This window comes from Homo sapiens, chromosome X (genome assembly GCF_000001405.40).
Source record: "Homo sapiens chromosome X, GRCh38.p14 Primary Assembly".
Lineage (NCBI taxonomy): Eukaryota > Metazoa > Chordata > Mammalia > Primates > Hominidae > Homo > Homo sapiens.
Window position 1 is genome coordinate 75,442,609 of NC_000023.11, and position 21,597 is coordinate 75,464,205.

At 39.1% G+C, this 21,597-nt stretch overlaps 1 protein-coding gene across 14 annotated transcripts in view; it reads right to left on the reverse strand.

The window, feature by feature from the left end:
* The window catches only part of ZDHHC15 (zDHHC palmitoyltransferase 15), a 154,611-nt gene that overhangs the window by 74,182 nt on the left and 58,832 nt on the right, over positions 1 to 21,597 (reverse strand). For 12 of the 14 annotated variants that reach the window (XR_001755658.3, XR_938393.3, XR_007068181.1 and 9 more), the window contains one exon: positions 8,194 to 8,314. The exons of 1 other annotated variant lie outside the window; for it this stretch is intronic. Coding sequence is in view for 10 of the 13 variants with exons in the window: in NM_001146256.2 (NP_001139728.1) it covers positions 8,194 to 8,314 (121 nt within the window). In the remaining 3 variants the exon portion in view is untranslated. Of the gene's footprint in view, positions 1 to 7,708; positions 8,315 to 21,597 lie in introns of those variants that run through there. One more of the 14 variants, NM_001146257.2, reaches the window with a different exon arrangement.

The following is a 21,597-nucleotide window of genomic DNA, read 5'->3' on the forward strand; positions in this document are numbered from 1 at the left end:
TTCAAGGAGAACTACAAACTACTGCTCAATGAAATAAAAGAGGATACAAACAAATGAAGAACATTCCATGCTCATGGATAGAAAAAATCAATATTGGGCCGGGCGCGGTGGCTCACGCCTGTAATCCCAGCACTTTGGGAGGCCGAGGCGGGTGGATCATGAGGTCAGGAGATCGAGACCATCCTGGCTAACAAGGTGAAACCCCGTCTCTACTAAAAATACAAAAAATTAGCCGGGCACGGTGGCGGGCGCCTGTAGTCCCAGCTACTCGGGAGGCTGAGGCAGGAGAATGGCGTGAACCCAGGAGGCGGAGCTTGCAGTGAGCCGAGAGCCCGCCACTGCACTCCAGCCTGGGCGACAGAGCGAGACTCCGTCTCAAAAAAAAAAAAAAAAAAGAAAAAATCAATATTGAGAAAATGGCCATACTGCCCAAGGTAATTTATAGATTCAATGCCATCCCCATCAAGCTACCAATGACTTTCTTCACAGAATTGGAAAAAATACTTTAAAGTTCATATGGAACCAAAAAAGACCCTGCATTGCCAAGTCAATCCTAAGCCAAAAGAACAAAGCTGGAGGCATCATGCTACCTGACTTCAAACTCTACTACAAGGCTACAGTAACCAAAACAGCATGCTACTGTTTTGGTACCAAAACAGAGTTATAGACCAATGGAACAGAACAGAGCCCTCAGAAATAATGCCACACATCTACAACTATCTGATCTTTGACAAACCTGAAAAAAAGAAGAAATGGGGAAAGCATTCCCTATTTAACAAACGGTGTTGGGAAAACTGGCTAGCCATATGTAGAAAGCTGAAACTGGATCCCTTCCTTACAACTTATACAAAAATTAATTCAAGATGGATTAAAGACTTAAAGGTTAGACCTAAAACCATAAAAACCCTACAAGAAAACCTAGGCAATAACATTCAGGACATAGGCATGGTCAAAGACCTCATGTCTAAAACACCAAAAGCAATGGCACAAAAGCCAAAATTGACAAATGGGATCTAATTAAACTAAAGAGCTTCTGCACAGCAAAAGAAACTATCGTCAGAGTGAACAGGCAACTTACAGAATGGGAGAAAATCTTTGCAATCTACCCATCTGACAAAGGGCTAATATCCAGAATCTACAAAGAACTCAAACCAATTTACAAGGAAAAAACAAACAACCCCATCAAAAAGTGGGCGAAGGATATGAATAGACACTTCTCAAAAGAAGACATTTATGCAGCCAAGACACACATGAAAAAATGCTCATCATCACTGGCCATCAGAGAAATGCAAATCAAAACCACAATGAGATACCATCTCACACCAGTTAGAATGGCAATCATTAAAAAGTCAGGAAACAACAGGTGCTGGAGAGGATGTGGAGAAATAGGAACACTTTTACACTGTTGGTGGGACTGTAAACTAGTTCAACCATTGTGAAAGTCAGTGTGGCAATTCCTCAGGGATCTAGAACTAGAAATGCCATTTGACCCAGCCATCCCATTACTGGGTATATACCCAAGGGATTATAAAACATGTTGCTATAAAGACACATGCACACGTATGTTTATTGCGGCACTATTCACAATAGCAAAGACTTGGAACTAACCCAAATGTCCAACAATGATAGACTGGATTAAGAAAATGTGGCACATATACACCATGGAATACTATGCAGCCATAAAAAAGGATGAGTTCATGTCCTTTGTAGGGACATGGATGAAGCTTGAAGCCATCATTCTCAGCAAACTATCACAAGGACAAGAAACCAAACACCGCATGTTCTCACTCATAGGTGGGAATTGAATAGTGAGAACACTTGGACACAGGAAGGGGAACATCACACACCAGGGCCTGTCGTGGGGTGGGGGGAGGGGGGAGGGATAGCATTAGGAGATATACCTAATGTAAATGGCGAGTTAATGGGTGCAGCACACCAACATGGCACATGTATACATATGTAGCAAACCTGCACGTTATGCACATGTACCGTACAACTTAAAGTATAATAAAAAAAGAAAAAAGCAACACTGTATATATATATATATATATATATATATATATATATATATATATATATACACACACACACACACACACACACAAATTTATGTAGAATGGTATTTATTAAAATACCATGTGTACTACTGCAGACTGGAAATGGTAATGTTTAAATAAATTACTGTATATCCGTTATAAAAAAAAATTCAGAGGAAGGGAGAATTTGTTCTCTCTGCCTGACTGCATGAGATAAAACATCAGTCTGTCAGACTGGGACTTACGTGATCAGGGTTCCTGGTTCTCAGAACTTTAGACTCAAACTGGAACTTACACTATTGGCTCTCAGGTTCTCAGGAGGCCTTTGGACTTGGAGTAGAAATTATACCATTGTTTCTCCTAGTGCTTATACTTTGGGCTCAAAGTAGGACTACACCATCACCTTTCCTGGGTCTCCATCTCACTGATGGCAGACAGTGGGACTTCTCAGCCTCCATAATTATGTGAGCTAATTCCTCAATGTAAATAATGTAAATAATAATTTATATACATATACCTCATTGTTCTTTCTCTATAGAGAACCCTACTGATAGTTATTCCAAAGAAACAGAATTTTAGGAATGAGTTTTTCTGAATTGGTTCTGAAGTTTCTGGAATTGGCTCTTCAATCTTAGTAGTTTTGATGATGCTAATGACACTGTATCAAGTAATAAAAAGAGCACTGGTAATCTGTGGCATGATCTGACAATGGAAATATGCAAAGTATCTTCAATAGATGCTCTTAGTCAACCATTTATGAGAAGCAAGTAGCTGGGTGACTATATATGATAATATTTAACATTTTTGAAAAACAATGAATAAAATGAGGTTGGCTTGTAGCTTCTAACATGACTGAACAAAGTGCTAAAAGAAACAGATGAGTTCAGGAATTCCCAGCCAAAGTGGTAGATAAATGACCTGAAAGCTTCTATGTATCTCCTAAAGGAGATGCTTATTGCATGTAGCCACAGGACTGAGATTTCTGAAAACCACAGAATTCCATCTGTAAATAGCCGAATTACAATGATAGTTGAACTCCCAGTCTTGTAGGGTATCTACTGTTAAAATGAGGGCACTGATTTGTAAAGAATTGGATCCTGTAAGTTAGGATGGGGATGTGTGGGAAGACCCTTATGAAGCCAGGGATACTGAGTGCCTAAATTCCAATGCATCTTATTTGCCAGGAGACGAGGCCTCCCTGCAACCAGTAGAAGCAGCTTCCAACTGCCCATGGTATTGGCCTCTCCAATCCTGTCTGAAGGGATCAACGCTGCGTTGCTTGAGGAAACTCAGGCCACTATACAAGACAATGTTGATTCTCCTCTGGACCCATCCCTCTTTGCTTCTAAGGCCTATAATAAGAATCAAGTCCTAACAGATCCCTAAAGGTAAGGTACAAAGTGTGACCAATGAAGACACGTACTACACTCCAAAAGAACTACTCAAATTTTCTAATTTATACAGATAGAAATCTAGGGAACATAGGTGGAAACAAATACTAATGTTGGAAAAAACATAAAGTTGAATCTGGCCAAATTTATTGATAGGGGCCTACTATGCAGAGATTCTGATTTTAATGTTGCAGCTCAGGGAGTTAGAAAGCATTCTAACAATTTGGTTGGTTGGTTTGCTAAAACACGATGAAAAGGTGGCTCACAGTGAGTGAGATGGAAATGCTGGACCTGCCTTGGTTTAATGTTGAGGGGAGGATTCAAAGGCTTAAGGAGAATGGAAGGTAGAACTTAGAATAGTTCTTCTCACTCACACTGGGAAGGTATAGAAAATGTACCTTTCACTAACACTGTGAGAAATACATTTGTAAAGAGAGCCCTGGTACAAGGAAATTTGGAAAAGAAGTGTGTGGAAAGACTTCTCTGAATGGAAAAAAAGTGTGAAGATATTTGTATCTTGTGTGAACACTCACTCATGGTTGATCACATGTTTTACTCCATTTGGGGCTGCTCTAACAAAGTACCATAGACTGGGTAGCTTCTAAACAACAAATTTATTCGCATGGTTCTCGAGGCTTGGAGTTCCAAGATCAAGGTACCAACAGCTTTAGTGCTGGTGAGGGCCTCTTTTATAGATAGTGCTTTCTTGCTGTGCCCTCTCATGGTGAAAGGGGCAAAGCAGCTCTCTGGAGCCTTATTATAAGGGCACTAATCACATTCATGAGGGTTCTACACTTATGACTTAACCATGTCCCCAAAGACCTCACGTCCTAATATCCCCTTGGGGACAGGATTTCAATATATAAATTTTAGGGGCACACAAACATTTGAAAAATAGCACTACAGCAGAGAAGGATTTTAATAATCAAACAGACAGAATGACCTGTTCAATGATTACCAGTCAGCCTCTTTCCCTACCCACCCCAGTTACTGCCCAATGGGCTCATGAACAAAGTGGCCATGGTGGCAGGGATGGAGGTTACATGGCTCAGCAATATTGACTTTCACTCACCAAGGCTGACCTGGCTACTGCCACTGCTGACTACCCAATCTGCCAGCAGCAGAGACCAACACTGAGCACCTGATATAGCACCATTCTCTGGGGTGATGAGCCATCAACCTGGTATCAGGTTGATTACATTGGAGTGCTTCTATCATAGCAGCGGCAGCGTTTTGTCCTTACTGGAATAGACACTTTGGATACAGATTTGTCTTCCCTGCATGCTGCACTTCTGCCAAAAGTGCCATCGATGGACTTACAAAATGCCTTATCCACCATCATGATATTCCACACAGCATTACATCTGATCAAGGAACTTCCTTCACAGCAAGAGAAGTGCTGCAGTAGGCCCATGCTTGTGGAATTTACTGGTGTTATCACGTTCCCCATCATCCTGAAGCAGCTAGCTTGACAGAGTGATGACATGGTCTTTTGAAGTGTCAGTTACAGTGCCAATACCTTGCAGGGCTGGGGCAAGATTTTCCCAAAAGCTGTATATGCTCTGAATCAGTGTCCAATAGATGATGCTGATTCTCTGATAGTTAGGATTCACAGGTCCAGAAATCAAGGGGTGGAAATGGGAGTGGTACCACTCACCATTACCCTAAGTGACCCACTAACAAAATGTTTTCTTCCTGTTCCTGCAATCTTGTGCTTTGCTAGTCTAGAGGTGTTAGTCCCAGAGGGAGGACTTCCACCAGGGGACACAACAATGATTCCATTGAACTGGAAGTTAAGACTGCCACCCAGCCACTTTGGAATCCTCGTATCTCTGAATCAACAGGACAAGAGGCAGGTGCAATGTTGGCTGGGATAACTGATCCAGATTATGAAGTGTAAATTAGACTTAATAGTCCAATTTTGTTAGTGGGTAACTAAAGGTAATGGTGAGTGGTGCCACTTCCATTTCTACTCCTTGAGTCCTGGGTGGAAATCAAGGGGTGGAAATGGTAGTGTAAACTGGTATAATAGACTTTTAGACTATTAAGTGTAAATTGGACTATTACTACTCTGCAATGGAGGAAAGAAAGACTATGTCAAGAATACAGGAGGTGCCTTAGGGCATCTCTTAGTATTACCATGCCCCGTGATTAGGTCAATGGAAAACCACAACAATCCAATTCAGGCAGGACTACTAATGACCCAGACTCTTCAGAACTGGAGATTTGGGTCACCACGTCAGGTAAAAAACCAGTACCAGCTGAGGTGCTTGCTAAAGGCAAAGGGAGTACAGAATGGATGGTGGGAGAAAGTAGCTATAAATACCAGCTATGACCATGTGACCAGTTACAGAAACAAGATCTGTTATTGTTATGGGTGTTTCCTTCTTATGTTGTTATGAATACAGTTGTGTGTGTGTATTTCAAATATCTTTGTCTTCTTCCTTCTCTTATCCCCTTATCATGTAACATAAGGTGCATTGACTTTACATCGTAACATTTAAGTGTTGTTATTTTATATCATAGTATTTAGTTTTTAATTAACAAAATAGCAAGGAGAAAAGTAAACTCACTCAAGAATACCTATTCTTCTGTGGAAGGGGTTAGTGCGTTTTCAGTTGAATGCATGATATTTGTATCATGTTAGGTAAAATTGTAACCTTGTTATTGTCTTTAAGTGGAGAGTATGGCTTAAGGAGATGTGTATGGGTGCCAAGTTGACAAGGGCTGGACTTGTGATAGTTAATTTTGTGTGTCAACTTTACTGGGTCATAGGGTACCTAGATATTTGGTTAAGTATTATTTCTAGGTGTCTCTGTGAAGGTGCTTCTGGGTGAGATTAGCATTCGAATCTAGACTGTGTAAAGCAGACTGTCCTCCCCAATGCAGGTGGGCCTCATCCAATCCTTTGAGGACCTGAACAGAACAAAAATGTGGAGGATGAGAAAATTTGCTGTTGTTGCCTGACTGCATGAGCTGAGACATCAGTTTTCTGCCATTAGACTGGGGCTTACACCATCAGCACTACTGGTTCTCAAACCGTTTAACTCAGACTATAATTACATTACCAGCTTTCCTGATTCTCCAGCTTGCAGATGGCAGACCGTGGGACTTCTCAGGTTCCATAATCATTTGCTGATTCCTCATAATCTCTCTCTCTCTCTATACACACACACACACACACACACACACACACACACACACACACACACACACACAATTCTATTGGCTCTATTTATCTGGAGAACGCTGACTAACACACATGGCTAAATCCTTATCATTTAAGTCTTCAAATAGTATTTCCTCAGAGAAGCCTTTCCTATTACTGCCTATCCTGGGAATTGCAAATACCTCAAGGTCCCAGAGAATAGTCAGTAGCAAAGGTACCGTGGTAAGTACCATTACCCAGATTCAACAATTATCAACATTGTGTCATTTTTGTTTCACCTATCTCTTCCACTGGCTTTTTACTTGATCATTTTAAACAAATCCCAAACACTGTGTCACTTCAAACCATAAATATTTCCATATGCATGAAGACTTTTAAAAATCATAACCACTATATTATTGCTCTAACAAAATTAACAGCAAGTCCTTAATATCATATAATACCAAGAACATAGTAAAATTTCCCCCATTGCCATATATCTTAAAAAATATTTGCTGAATAAATGATGAACAAATGAATATGTGTCTGACAGTAAACTTTCTAAAGCCTTGAAATACGAAACATAATCATCCTTATTAGAAACATTAGGATGACATATCAGAAGAACCATGGTTTTCAAACTTTTTAACATATTCCCCATACCTCTGTATGTTTTCAAAATTTAAAAGGTGGAGAATTAGTTCAGCAAGTACTGTTTTAGTCATGCAGATGAAACCTAAGAGTAAAATTCTGTATTGGATATTTACTCAAGGAAAAAGAAGATATGTCTTTGCACAGATACTTATACAGTAATATTCATAGCAAATTGACTCATAATAACTAAACACTAGAAACAACCCAAGTATGTATCAACTAGTGAATGGATAAACTTTGATATATTCATACAATATAATGCTACACAGCAATAAAAAAATACACAAAAAAGATGGATGAATCTTACAAACATTATGTTGAATAAAAGAAGCCAGACGCAAGAGTATGTACTCTGTGATTCCAATTATATAAAATTTGAGAGCAGACAAAACTAATTTATAGTGAAAAGCTATCAGAATAGCGGTTTCTGTGGGAAGTGGGGTGGGGTCGGATTGACTGGAAATGAGGCATGACAGAACTTTCTGAGGTGATGGCAATTTTATTGGGGGTTTAGTTACACAGATGTGTACACTTTTCAAAATACATGGAATGGTACCCTTAAGATTATGCATGTTTTTGTATGTAAATTTTAACAAAACAGAATAAAATATTTAGGTAGATGTCTTACTGATGTCAGCTATTTACTTTGAAATGCATCAGAAACATAAGATGGCTTGACGAAAGATAAATAGAGGTATGCATATGTGGATAGATATGTGATATAGCAACACAGAAAAATGTTAGCAGAAGAATCCAGTTTGGGGTATACAGTTTGTTTACTATACAATTCTTCCAGCTTTGATATGTGTTTAAAATTTTTTAGAAATAAAATGTGGAGAAAAATCTCCATAGTGGTTTTCAGAAGATGGGAGGAAAAAAAAGGGCTAGTTTGAGAACATATATGACTTAGCCTTTCTGAGATACTTGCTGAGCTGCCTCTCTAGCTGCCTTTGGATGAACTGACCTCCACTTCCAGTTCTTGTGTAAACCGGTAGCTTTTTGGCCATATCAACAAGCATCTGCTTCTGGACCTCAGGTCTTTCTTCATTTTCATAGCGCTCCTTGTCTGTGTAGGACAAGTGGAACTGGAAGCAGGAGTGAAAGGTAAGACTTTATTATCTAAAGTTAATAGAAAAGATTAAAACCAACAACAATAACTACTTTAATGAAATTATTTGTTACCTACCCTTGAAGCTCAGGTACCACTTAGTCTTATAATGTTCTCTGGATAATTACTTCAATAATCTGGCTTTTATCTCAATTATCAAAAGCATGAGATATGTGTATTTTTTAATAAAGAAAATAAAACAGAGAGATTCAGTAACTTGCCTAAAGTTGGACTCAATCAACTAACAAGTGGCAATGCTGGACCTCAAACTCAATTCATCTGATTTCAAGACTTGTCCCTTTCCATTGATTCATAATATGATGTTGCATACAGATGTGTAACACATTTTTGCCAGGGCCCTGTTGATAATTAACCATGCTTACCAAGTTGCAAGAGTTTTCACAGGTAACACTGATAACACCCTTGGAGAAGCTGGATGAGACTGCTTGTAACATTGTCTGCATATTCTAATCTTGTAAATAAGGGGAAATTTAGATATTCTCACTATTGAATACTTTTTTAGTCTCGTATGGAGCTTGTTGCCACAATAGTGCCACATTTTGCTAATCTTGCAAAAGATATGCCATTGATCTTCAAAAGTAATATGAACCTGAAAGCATTTATTCTATCTGTGCCGAAGGGTAGACTGAGTTGAAAAAAAGGATCTGTGGTCAGAATTTCTAGGTTTAAGTCTCATCTCTATTACTTAATAGAAAATCACTTTGCAAAATCAGACATTCTCAACCTGTTTCTTCACATGTAAAATAGAAGAAATAATACCTACTTCATAATATTGGTGCAGAAGTGCCAGATAATAACAGGTAAATAAAAATCTCCTTTAGAAGTCTAATTTTTGAATTGTTTAAAAATATTTGATGTTGCTGCTAAGAGATTTTGTCACCACCAGGCCTGCCCTAAAAGAGCTCCTGAAGGAACCACTAAACATGGAAAGAAACAACTGGTACCAGCCACTGCAAAAACATGCCAAATTGTAAAGACCATCGATGCTAGGAAGAAACTGCATCAATTAATGGGCAAAATAACCAGCTAACATCATAATGACAGGATCAAATTCACACATAACAATATTAACCTTGAAAGTTAACGGGCTAAATGCCCTAATTAAAAACACAGACTGGCAAATTGGATGAAGAGTCAAGACCCATCAGAGTGCTGTATTCAGGAGACCCATCTCACGTGCAGAGACACACATAGGCTCAAAATAAAGGGATGGAGGAAGATCTACCAAGCAAATAGAAAGCGAAAAAAAAAAAAAAAAGCAGGGGTTGCAATCCTAGTCTCTGAAAAAATAGACTTTAAACCAACAAAGATCAAAAGAGACAAAGAAGGCCATTACATAATGGTAAAGGGATCAATTCAACAAGAAGAGCTAACTAATCTAAATATATATGCAACCAATACAGGAGCACCCAGATTCATAAAACAAGTCCTAACAGACCTAAAAAGAGACTTAGACTCCACACAATAATAATGGGAGATTTTAACACCCCACTGTCAATATTAGACAGATCAATGAGACAGAAGGTTAACAAGGATATACAGGACTTGAACTCAGCTCTGCACCAAGCAGACCTAATAGACATCCACAGAACTCTCCACCCCAAATCCACAGAATATACATTCTTCTCAGCACCACATCGCACTTATTCCAAAATTGACCACATAGTTGGAAGTAAAGCACTCCTCAAATGTAAAAGAACAGAAATCATAACAAACTGTCTCTCTGACCACAGTTCAATCAAATTAGAACTCAGGATTAAGAAACTCAGTCAAAACCGCACAACTACATGGAAACTGAACAACCTGCTCCTGAATGACTACTGGATAATGAAATGGAGGCAGAAATAAAGATGTTCTTTGAAACCAATGAGAACAAAGACACAACATACTAGAATCTCTGGGACACATTTAAAGCAGTGTGTAGATGGAAATTTATAGCACTTAAATGCCCACAAGAGAAAGCAGGAAAGATCTAAAATCAACACCCTCATATTGCAATTAAAAGAACTAGAGAAACAAGAGCAAACAAATTCAAAAGCTAGCGGAAGTCAAGAAATAACTAAGATCAGAGCAGAACTGAAGGAGATAGAGACACAAAAAACCCTTCAAAAAATCAATGAATCCAGGAGCTGGTTTTTTTGAAAAGATCAACAAAAGTGATAGACTGCTAGACTGCTAGCAAGACTAATAAAGAAAAGAGACAAGAATCAAATAGACACAATAAAAAATGATAAAGGGGATATCACCACCGATCCCACAGAAATACAAACTACCATCAGAGAATACTATAAACACCTCTACACAAATAAACTAGAAAATCTAGAAGAAATGAATAAATTCCTGGACACATATACCCTCCCAAGACTAAACCAGGAAGAAGCTGAATCTCTGAATAGACCAATAACAGGAGCTGAAATTGAGACAATAATTAATAGCCTACCAAACAAAAAAAGTCCAGGACCAGATGGATTCACAGCCAAGTTCTACCAGAGGTACAAAGAGGAGCTGGTACCAATCCTGAAACTATTTCAATTGATAGAAAAAGAGGGAATCCTCCCTAACTCATTTTATGAGGCCAGCATCATCCTAACACCAAAGGCTGGCAGTGACACAACAAAAAAAAGAGACTTTTAGACCAATATCCCAGATGAATATCGATGTGAAAATCCTCAATAAAATACTGACAAACCGAATCCAGCAGCACATCAAAAAGCTATCCACCAAGATCAAATTGGCTTCATTCCTGGGATGCAAGGCCTAGTTCAACATATGAAAATCAATAAACGTAATCCATCAAATAAACAGAACCAAAGACAAAAACCACATGATTATCTCAATAGATGCAGCAAAGGCCTTTGACAAAATTCCACAGCCATTCATGCTAAAAACTCTCAATAAATTAGGTATTGATGGAACGTGTCTCAAAATAATAAGAGCTATTTATGACAAACCCACAGCCAGTATCATACTGAATGGGCAAAAACTGGAAGCACTCCCTTTGAAAACTGGCACAAGACAGGGATGCCCTCTCTCACCACTCCTATTCAACATCATATTGGAAGTTCTGGCCAGGGAAATCAGGCAAGAGAACGAAATAAAGAGTATTCAAATAGGAAAAGAGGAAGTCAAATTGTCCCTGTTTGCAGATGACATGATTGTATATTTAGAAAACCCCATCGTCTCAGCCCAAAATCTCCTTAAGCTGATAAGCAACTTCAGCAAAGTCTCAGGATACAAAATCAATGTGCAAAATCACAAGCATTCTTATACACCAATAACAGACAAACAGCCAAATCATGAGTGAACTCCCATTCACAATTGCTACAAAGAGAATAAAATACCTAGGAATCTTAATCCAGTCTATCAATGATGGACATTAGGGTTGGTTCCAAGTCTTTGCTATTGTGAATGGTGCTGCAATAAACATACATTTGCATGTGTCTTTATAGCAGCATGATTTATAATCCTTTGGGTATATGCCAAGTAATGGGATGGCTAGGTCAAATGGTATTTCTATTTCTAGATCCTTGAGGAATTGCCACACTGTCTTCCACAATGGTTGAACTAGTTTACAGTCCCACCAACAGTGTAAAAGCATTCCTATTTCTCCACATCCTCTCCAGCACCTGTTGTTTCCTGACTTTTTAATGATTGCCATTCTAACTGGTGTGAGATGGTATCTCATTGTGGTTTTGATTTGGGACAAGTTAACGGGTGGAGCACACCAACATGGCACATGTTTACATATGTAACAAACCTGCACATTGTGCACATGTACCCTAGAACTTAAAGTATAATAATAAAAAATAAAAATGAAAAAATACCTAGGAATCCAACTTACAAGGGATGTGAAGGACCTCTTTAAGGAGAACTACAAACCACTGCTCAATTAAATAAAAGAGGACACAAACAAATGGAAGAACATTCCATGCTCATGGATAGGAAGAATCAATATCCTGAAAATGGCCATACTGCCCAAGGTAATTTATAGATTCAATGTCATCCCCATCAAGCTACCAATGACTTTCTTCACAAAATTGGAAAAAACTACTTTAAAGTTCATATGGAATCAAAAAAGAGCCCGAATTGCCAAGACAATCCTAAGCCAAAAGAACAAAGCTGGAGGCATCATGCTACCTGACTTCAAACTATACTACAAGGCTACAGCAACCAAAACTGCATGGTACTGGTACCAAAACAGAGATATAGCCCAATGGAACAGAACAGAGGCCTCAGAAATAACACCACACATGTATAACCATCTGATCTTTGACAAACCTGACAAAAACAAGAAATGGGGAAAGGATTCCCTATTTAATAAATGGTGCTGGGAAAACTAGCTAGCCATATGTAGAAAGCTGAAACTGGATCCCTTCCTTACACCTTGTACAAAAATTAATTCAAGATGGATTAAAGACTTAAATGTTAGACCTAAAACCATAAAAACCCTAGAAGAAAACCTAGGCAATACCATCCAGGACGTAGGCATGGGCAAGGACTTCGTGACTAAAACACCAAAAGCAATGGAAACAAAAGCCAAAATAGACAAATGGGATGTAATTAAACTAAAGAGCTTCTGCAGACAAAAGAAACTACCATCAGAGTGAACAGGCAACCTACAGAATGGGAGAAAATTTTTGCAATCTACTTATCTGACAATGGGCTAATATCCAGAATCTACAAAGAACTCAAATTTACAAGAAAAAATCAAACAATTTCATAAAAAAGTGGGCAAAGGATATGAACAGACACTTTTCAAAAGAAGACATTTATGCAGCCAAAGACACATGAAAAAATGCTCATCATCACTGGTCATCAGAGAAATGGAAATCAAAACCACAATGAGATACCATCTCATGCCAGTTAGAATGGCGATCATAGAAACAACAGTTGCTGGAGAGGATGTGGAGAAATATGAATGCTTTTACACCATTGGTGGGAGTGTAAACTAGTTCAACCATTTTGGAAGACAGTGTAGCGATTCCTCAAGGATCTAGAATTAGAAATAGCATTTGACCCAGCCATCCCATTACTGGGTATATACCCAAAGGTTTATAAATCATGCTACTAGAAAGACACACACACATGTATGTTTATTGTGGCACTATTCACAATAGCAAAGACTTGGAACCAACCCAAATGTCCATCAATGATAGACTGGATTAAGAAAATGTGGCACATATACACCATGGAATACTATGCAGCCATAAAAAAGGATGAGTTCATGTCCTTTGTAGCAACATCGATGAAGCTGGAAACCATCATTCTGAGCAAACTATCACAAGGACAGCAAACCAAACACCACATGTTCTCACTCACAGGTGAGAATTGAACAATGAGAACACTTGGACACAGGGCGGGGTACATCATATACCAGGGCCTGTCATGGGGTGGGGGGCTGGGGGAGGGATAGCATTAGGAGAAATACCTAATGTAAGTGTCAAGTTGATGGGCACAGCACACCAACATGGCACATATATACATATGTAACAAACCTGCACGTTGTGAAAATGTACCCTAGAACTTAAAGTATAATAATCAAAAACAAAAAAGAATGGCAATAATTAAAAAGTCTGGAAACAACAGATGCTGTCAAGGATGTGGAGAAAGAGGAATGTTTTTATACTGTTGGTGGGAGTGTAAATTAGTCCAACCACTGTGGAAGACAGTGCGGGGATTCCTCAAGGATCTAGAATCAGAAATATCATTTGACCCAGCAATCCCGTTACTGGGTATAAAGAGACTGTTTTTAGAGACAACTACTGGCAGAATCCTCTGAGCAACGCTGCTCTATGACAACGTTTCCTCTCTGAGAGCAGTTGGGTCCAGCACTTACCAAACATAACAGCAACGGGTGTCTCCCCTGTCAAGGCCACATACTGTAAATTTAGACAGATCCAGGTTCAAGTCCCAACCACTTAAGTGCCATTTAAATTCTGTGACTTGGAGCTTCTTGCTTAATTTCTCCAAGCTTTAATTTCCTCATCCAAGAAATAGAGATAATAATATCATCCCCATAATTACTGTTAAATGTAAAGCATTTAGCTGTGGTGTTTGGCACAGTGTAAGTACTCAACAAATGTTAGCTAAAATAATAAACATGTATAACATTAAAAAACTGATATTTAGAAAAAATCTAAAAAATATTTGATATTGCCAATGTTTTTAATTTTAACTCTTCTAGTTGGTGTGTTGCATTAGTCTATTCTTGCAAACCATATCATTTGTAGTGGCATCTTATTGTGATTTTATTTTGTACTCCTTTCATTACTAATGATATTGAGCACCTTTTCATGAGTTTATTGGCCATTTGGATATCCTCTTGTGAAATAGCTTTTCAAGTCTTTGGTCCATTAAAAAAAGAATTGGGTTGTTTGTCTTTCTTTGGTATTAATTTGTAGAAATTCTTTATATATTTTGGATACTAGTCTTTGGTTGAATATTTTCTACCAGTCTGTGGCTTTCCCTTTTACTTCCTTTATGGTGGATTTTGATGTACAGAAGATCATGGTGGGAGTGCAGATTTATATAATCAGTTTGGAAAATTTTGTCATTATCTATTTATGCTAAATATATGCCTGTCTTATGACCCCAGCAATTTTATTCCTACTTATATACACAAGAAAAATGAGTATCTGGGTGTATATGTGTGAGCATGTATTAAAGTTTTATTTACACTCACACACACACACACACACACACACACACACACACAGAGTCTCTGATACACAGAGTCAGCCTTCCCTATGTATGGTTCCACATTCATGCATTCAACCAACTGGATTAAAAAATATTTTTAAAATTAACAATACAAGAAAAATAATACAAATAACAAACAATACAAAAACTATTTACATAGCATTTATAGTGTATTAGTATTGTAAATAATCTAGAGATGATTTAAAATATGTAGGAGGGTGTGAATGGGTTATATGCAAATACCATGCCATTTCATGTAAGGAACCTGAGCATCTGTGATTTTGGTATCTATGGGAGGTCCTGAAATCAATCCCCTGTGGGTACTGAGGAACAACTATATTTATATGCCAAAAGACATGTACAAGAATGTTCATTGGAGCTTTATTCATAACACACAAAACAATGGAAACAAGTATACTTCAATGGCTGAATGGTTAAACCAAGTGTGATAAAAGGGAATAACTAACAGCAATCAAAGGAAATTAACTACTGAAAAATGCATCAACATGGATAAATTTGAAAAACACTGTGTTGAGTGAAAGGTACACATAGAATAGTACCAACTAGGATTCCTTTTTTATGGACTTCAAAAACAGGCAAAACCAATCTATGGTGATAGAAGTTAGCGTAGTAGTTACCTCTAAGAGGAGGTTGATTGAAAAGAGGCATGAAGATTTATGAGATACTAGAATGTTTAAAATTTTAACCTGGATACTGATTACTTAGGTATAATATATGGGGAAACATTCATCAAATTATTCTCTTTAAAACTTAATTCTGGGAGTAGAGTCTGTATGTTATACTTCAATAAAATTAGCAGAACAAATAATAAAATATTTGAGATAATTTAAATATATCTAACTTAAAAAATTGAAAACATATAAAATCAAACACTGTGTTTTAAGAACCACACCTAGTGGTGCGTTTTTATGGTACTGTCATTCTCAGGTAGAGTGAGAATTAAGTACCCTGCTTGGGGTATGTGGAACTATGTAGGGGCATTTTTGGCTATTACAATGAATGTGGTGTACCATAGGCAATTAATCCTTAGCCTAGGGTGCTAAAGATTCTCCAATGAACTGAACAAATTCATACTGTTTTTCCCAACCAAAGGTCAATAGGTGGTATGGGAGGGGCCTAGATGGCTGATTAGAAGCAGCAGTCCGTGGCACTCATGGAGAGGAATGAAAGTAGTGAGTGAGTTCAGCACCTTCAACTAAAATATACAGGTTCTCGCATTCGGACTGACTAGGCAAACAACTAGACCCATAGAGAATGAAGAAAAGCAGGGTGGGGAAATAGCCCTCCCAGGAGTGGCACAGAGACAAAAAAAAAAAAAAAAAAAACAACCCCCAGCCAAGGGAATTGGTGAATGATTGTGCCACCCTGCTCAGGAAATCACTCTTCTCCCACAGATCACTGCAACCCACCGATAAGGAGATCCTCTGGTGATCCCATGCCACCAGGGCCTTGGGTCCGATACACAAAGCTGTGTGGAGTCATGGCAGAGCAGCTGCTCAGCCACACACAGAGACCCAGGAGTTTTACATACTCCAGCCCCAGTAGCCCCAGCAAGGTGGGAGATCCATTTGTACATACACCTAAGAAGAGGGCTAAATCTAGGGAGTCAAGCAGTGTCATTCTGCAGGCTCCACTTCCATAGCACTGTACAAGCTAAGACCCACTGGCTTGTAATTCTAGCCAGCCAACTGCAACAGGCTGAAGTCTGCCTGAGATGAGATAAAGTTCCTGTGGGGAGGGGTGGCTGCCTTCTCTGTGATTCAGTCAGCTCAGCCATTCCAGCCTGCCAGCTTTGGAGAGTGCAAATGGCCCAGAGGAGGAAGGACCCCCCAACAGTGAAGCGTACCTACTTTGCCAGGTTGTGGCCAGGCTGCTTCTATAAGCAGGACCCCAATCCATTCCTCCTCACTGGGTGGAGCCTGTCTGTGGGGACTTCAGCCACTCCAGCCAGGGTAATACAGAGAGAGCTCTGATTTCTCCCTGGGACAGAGCTCCTGGGGGATGGGGCAGCCACCATATCTGCAGTTCAGCGAACTCAGCCATTTCAGCCTCCAGTTTTAGAGAGTGAAAATTGTCCCGATGAGGAAGGGTCAGTTTGGAAAATTTTGGACTTATCTATTTACGCTAAATATATACAACACAATGAAGGACAGCTGCTTTGGCAGATCATGGCCAGACTGCTGCTTTTTTGTTTGTTTGTTTTTTTGAGATGGAGTTTCACTCTTATTGCCCAGGCTGGAGTGCAATGGCACAATCTCAGTTCACTGCAACCTCTGCCTCCCAGGTTCAAGCGATTTTCCTGCCTCAGCCTCCCAAATAGCTGGGATTACAGGCATGGGCCACGATACCTGGCTAATTTTGTATTTTTAGTAGAGATGGGGTTTCTCCATGTTGGTCAGGCTGGTCTTGAACTCCCGACCTCAGGTGATCTGCCTGCCTTGGCCTCCTGAAGTGATGGGATTACAGGCGTGAGCCACCACGACTGGCCAGACTGCTTCTTTAAGTGGGACCCCAACCCATTTCTCCTCACTGGGCAGGACCTCCCTGTGGGGTCTTCAGCCACTCCACCTAGGCTTATAGGGACAGAGCTCTGAACTTTCCCTGGGATGGAGCTTCCAGGGGGAGGGGTGGCTGTTATCTCTGTGGTGCAGTTGATTCAGCCATTCCAGTCTGCTGGCTTTGCAGAGTCCAAATTTTCTGGACAAGGATGGGTTCCCTCCAGTAGAGCAAACCTGCTCTACCAAAAAGCAGCCAGACTGCTTCTTTAAGTGGGTCCCTGTTTCCACTCCTCCTGACTGGGTGAAACTTCCCAACAGGGGTCTCGAGATACCTCCTATAGGTGCATTTGGGCCAGAAACAGGTCATTACCCCCCTGGGATGGAGGTTCCAGAGGAAAGAGAAGGCTGCCATCTTTGTTGTTTCACAGCCTTCACTGGTGATACATCCAGGTATGAAAAAAAAAATGAGGCAAGTAGGGTCTGGAGTAGACCTGCAGCAAACCACAGCAGCCCTATAGGAGAGTGACCTGACTGTTAAAAGAAAAACAAACAGAAAACAACAACATCAACAGAAAAGACCCCACAAAAAACTTATTCAAAGGTCAGCAACCTCAAACATTGAAGATAGATAAGCCCACAAATATGAGAAATAATCAACACAAAAAGGCTGAAAACAAAACGCCAGAGTGTCTCTATTCCTTCAAATGAATGCAACACCTCTAGAGCAAGGGCACAGAACTGGGCTGAGGTTAAGATGCCTGAATTGACAGAAGTAGGCTTCAGAAGGTGGGTAATAACAAACTTCACTGAGCTAAAGGAGCATGTTGTAACCCAATGCAAAGAGGCTAAGAATCATGATAAAACAATACAGGAGCTGATAGCCAGAATAGCCACTTTAGGGAGGAATATAACCGACATGACGGAGCTAGAAAACACAATATGACAACTTTACTATGCAATCACAAGTATCAATAGCAGAATAAATAAAGCAGAGGAAGGAATCTCAGAGCTTGAAGACTATCTTTCTGAAATAAGACAGACAAGAATAGAGAATAAGGAATAAAATGGAATGAATAAAATCTGAGAAATATGGAATTATATAAAGAGAGCAAACCTACAACTGATTGGGGTACCTGAAAGAGATGGCGTGAATTGAACCAAGCTGGAAAATATATTTCAGGATATCATCCAGGAGAACTTCTCCAGCCTAGCAAGACAGGCCAACATTCAAATTCAGGAAATGCAGAGAACCCCAGTAAGATACTCCATGAGAAAATCAATTCCAAGACACATAATCATCAGATTCTCCAAGGTTGAAATAAAGAAAATATTCAGGGCAGCCAGAGCAAAAGGCCACATTACCTACAAAGGAAAGTAGATCAGACTAACAGCAGATCTCCCAGTGGAAACCCTAAAAGCCAGAAGAGATTGGGGCCAATATTCAACATTTTTAAAGAAAATAATTTTCAGCCCAGTATTTGACACCTACCAAACTAAGCTTCCTAACTGAAGGAGAAATAAGATCCTTTTCAGACAAGAAAATACTGAGGGAATTAATTGCCACCAGGCCTGCCTTGCAAGACCTCCTGAAGGAAGCACTAAATATGGAAAGGGAAGACTGTTACAAGTCACTACAAAAACACACTGAAGTACACAGACCAGTGACACTATGGAATGACCACATAAACAAGTCTGCAAAATAGCCAGCTAGCATCATGATGACAGGATCAAACTCACACATAACAATATTAACCTTAAATGTAAATGGGCTAAATGTCTCAATTAAAAGACACAGACTATAAATCTGGACAAAGAGCCAAGACCCATTGGTATGCTGTCTTCAAGAGACCATCTCAAGTGCAAAGACACACATAGGCTCAAAATAAAGGGATGGAGGAAAATTTATCAAACAAATGAAAAACAGAAAAAAGTAGAGGTTACAATCCTAGTTTCTAACAAAACTGACTTTAAACCAACAAAAATAAAAAAAGACAAAGAAGGATATTACATAATGGAAAAAGGTTCAATTCAACAAGAAGAGCTTTCTAAATATATATGCACCAAATTCAGGAGCACCCATATTCATAATGCAAGTTCTTAGAGATCTACAAAAAGACTTATATTCTAACACAGTAATAGTGAAAGACTTTAACACTCCACTGACAGTATTAGTCAGATCATCAACACAGAAAATTAACAAGGATATGCAGAACCCGAACACATCTCTGGATCAAGAGGACCTGATAGATATCTACAGAACTCTTCAGCCATAAACAACAGAATAAACACTCATCTCATTGCCACATGGCACTTACTCTAAAATTGAGCATATAAACGGAAGTAAAACACTCCTCAGCAAATGCATAAGAACTGAAATCATAACAGTCTCTCAGACCAAAGCATAATAAATTAGAGCTCAAGATTAAGAAATTAACTCAAAACCACACCACTACATGGAAATTGGATAACCTGCTCTTGAATGACTCTTGGGCAAATAATGACATTAAGACAGAAATCAACAAGTTCTTTGAAACGAATGAGAACCAAAAGACAATGTACCAGAATCTCTGGGACACAGCTAAAATAGTGTTAAGAGGGAAATTTATAGCACTAAATCCCCACACCAAAAAGCTAGAAAGATCTCAAATTGACACCCTAATATCACAACTAAAAGAACTAGAGAACCAAGAGCAAAGAAACACCAAAGCTAGCAGAAGACGAGAAATAGCCAAGATCAGAGCTGAACTGAAGGAGACAGAGACATGAAAAAACTCTTCAAAAAAAATCAACAAATCCAGGGTTTTTTAAATTAATCAAATAGATAGACCACTAGCCAGACTAATAAAGAAGGAAAGAGAGAAGAATCAAATAAACACAATCAGAAATGATCAGGGGATATCACCACTGATCCCACAGAAATACAAACAACCATCAGAGAATACTATAAAACCTCTATGTACATAAATGAGAAAATTTAGAATAAATTCCGGGGTACATACACCCTCCCAAGACTGAACAAGGAAGAAATTAAATCCTTGAATAGACCAATAATGAGTTCTGAATTTGAGGCAGTAATAAACAGCCTACCAATCAAAAAAAGCCCAGGACCAGATGAATTCACAGCTGAATTCTACCAGAGTTACAAAGAAAAGCTGGTATCATTTCTACTGAAACTATTCCAAAAAATTGAAAAGGAGAGACTCTTCCCCAACTCATTCTGTGAGGCTAACTTCATCTTGATACCAAAACCTGGAAGAGATACAACAAATTCTGCACAGCAAAAGAAACTACCATCAGAGTGAACAGGCAACCTACAGAATGGGAGAAAATTTTTGCAACCTACTCATCTGACAAAGGGCTAATATCCAGAATCTATAAAGAACTCAAATTTACAACAACAACAACAACAACAACAACAACAAAAAACCCATCAAAAGGTGGGCGAAGGATATGAACAGACACTTCTCAAAAGAAGACATTTATGCAGCCAACAGACACATGAAAAAATGCTCATCATCACTGGCCATCAGAGAAATGCAAATCAAAACCACAATGAAATACCATCTCACACCAGTTAGAATGGCAATCATTAAAAAGTCAGGAAACAACAGGAGGGATGTGGAGAAATAGGAAAAATTTTACACTGATGGTGGGACTGTAAACTAGTTCAACCATTATGGAAGACAGTGTGGCCATTCCTCAAGGATCTAGAACTAGAAATACCATTTGACCCAGCCATCCCATTACTGGGTATATACCCAAAGGATTATAAATCATGCTGCTATAAAGACACACGCACGCGTATGTTTATTGCGGCACTATTCACAAAAGCAAAGACTTGGAACCAACCCAAATGTCCAACAATGATAGACTGGATTAAGGAAATGTGGCACATATACACCATGGAATACTATGCAGCCATATAAAAGGATGAGTTCATGTCCTTTGCAGGGACACGGATGAAGCTGGAAACCATCATTCTCGGCAAACTGTCACAAGGAGAAAACACCAAACACCGCAT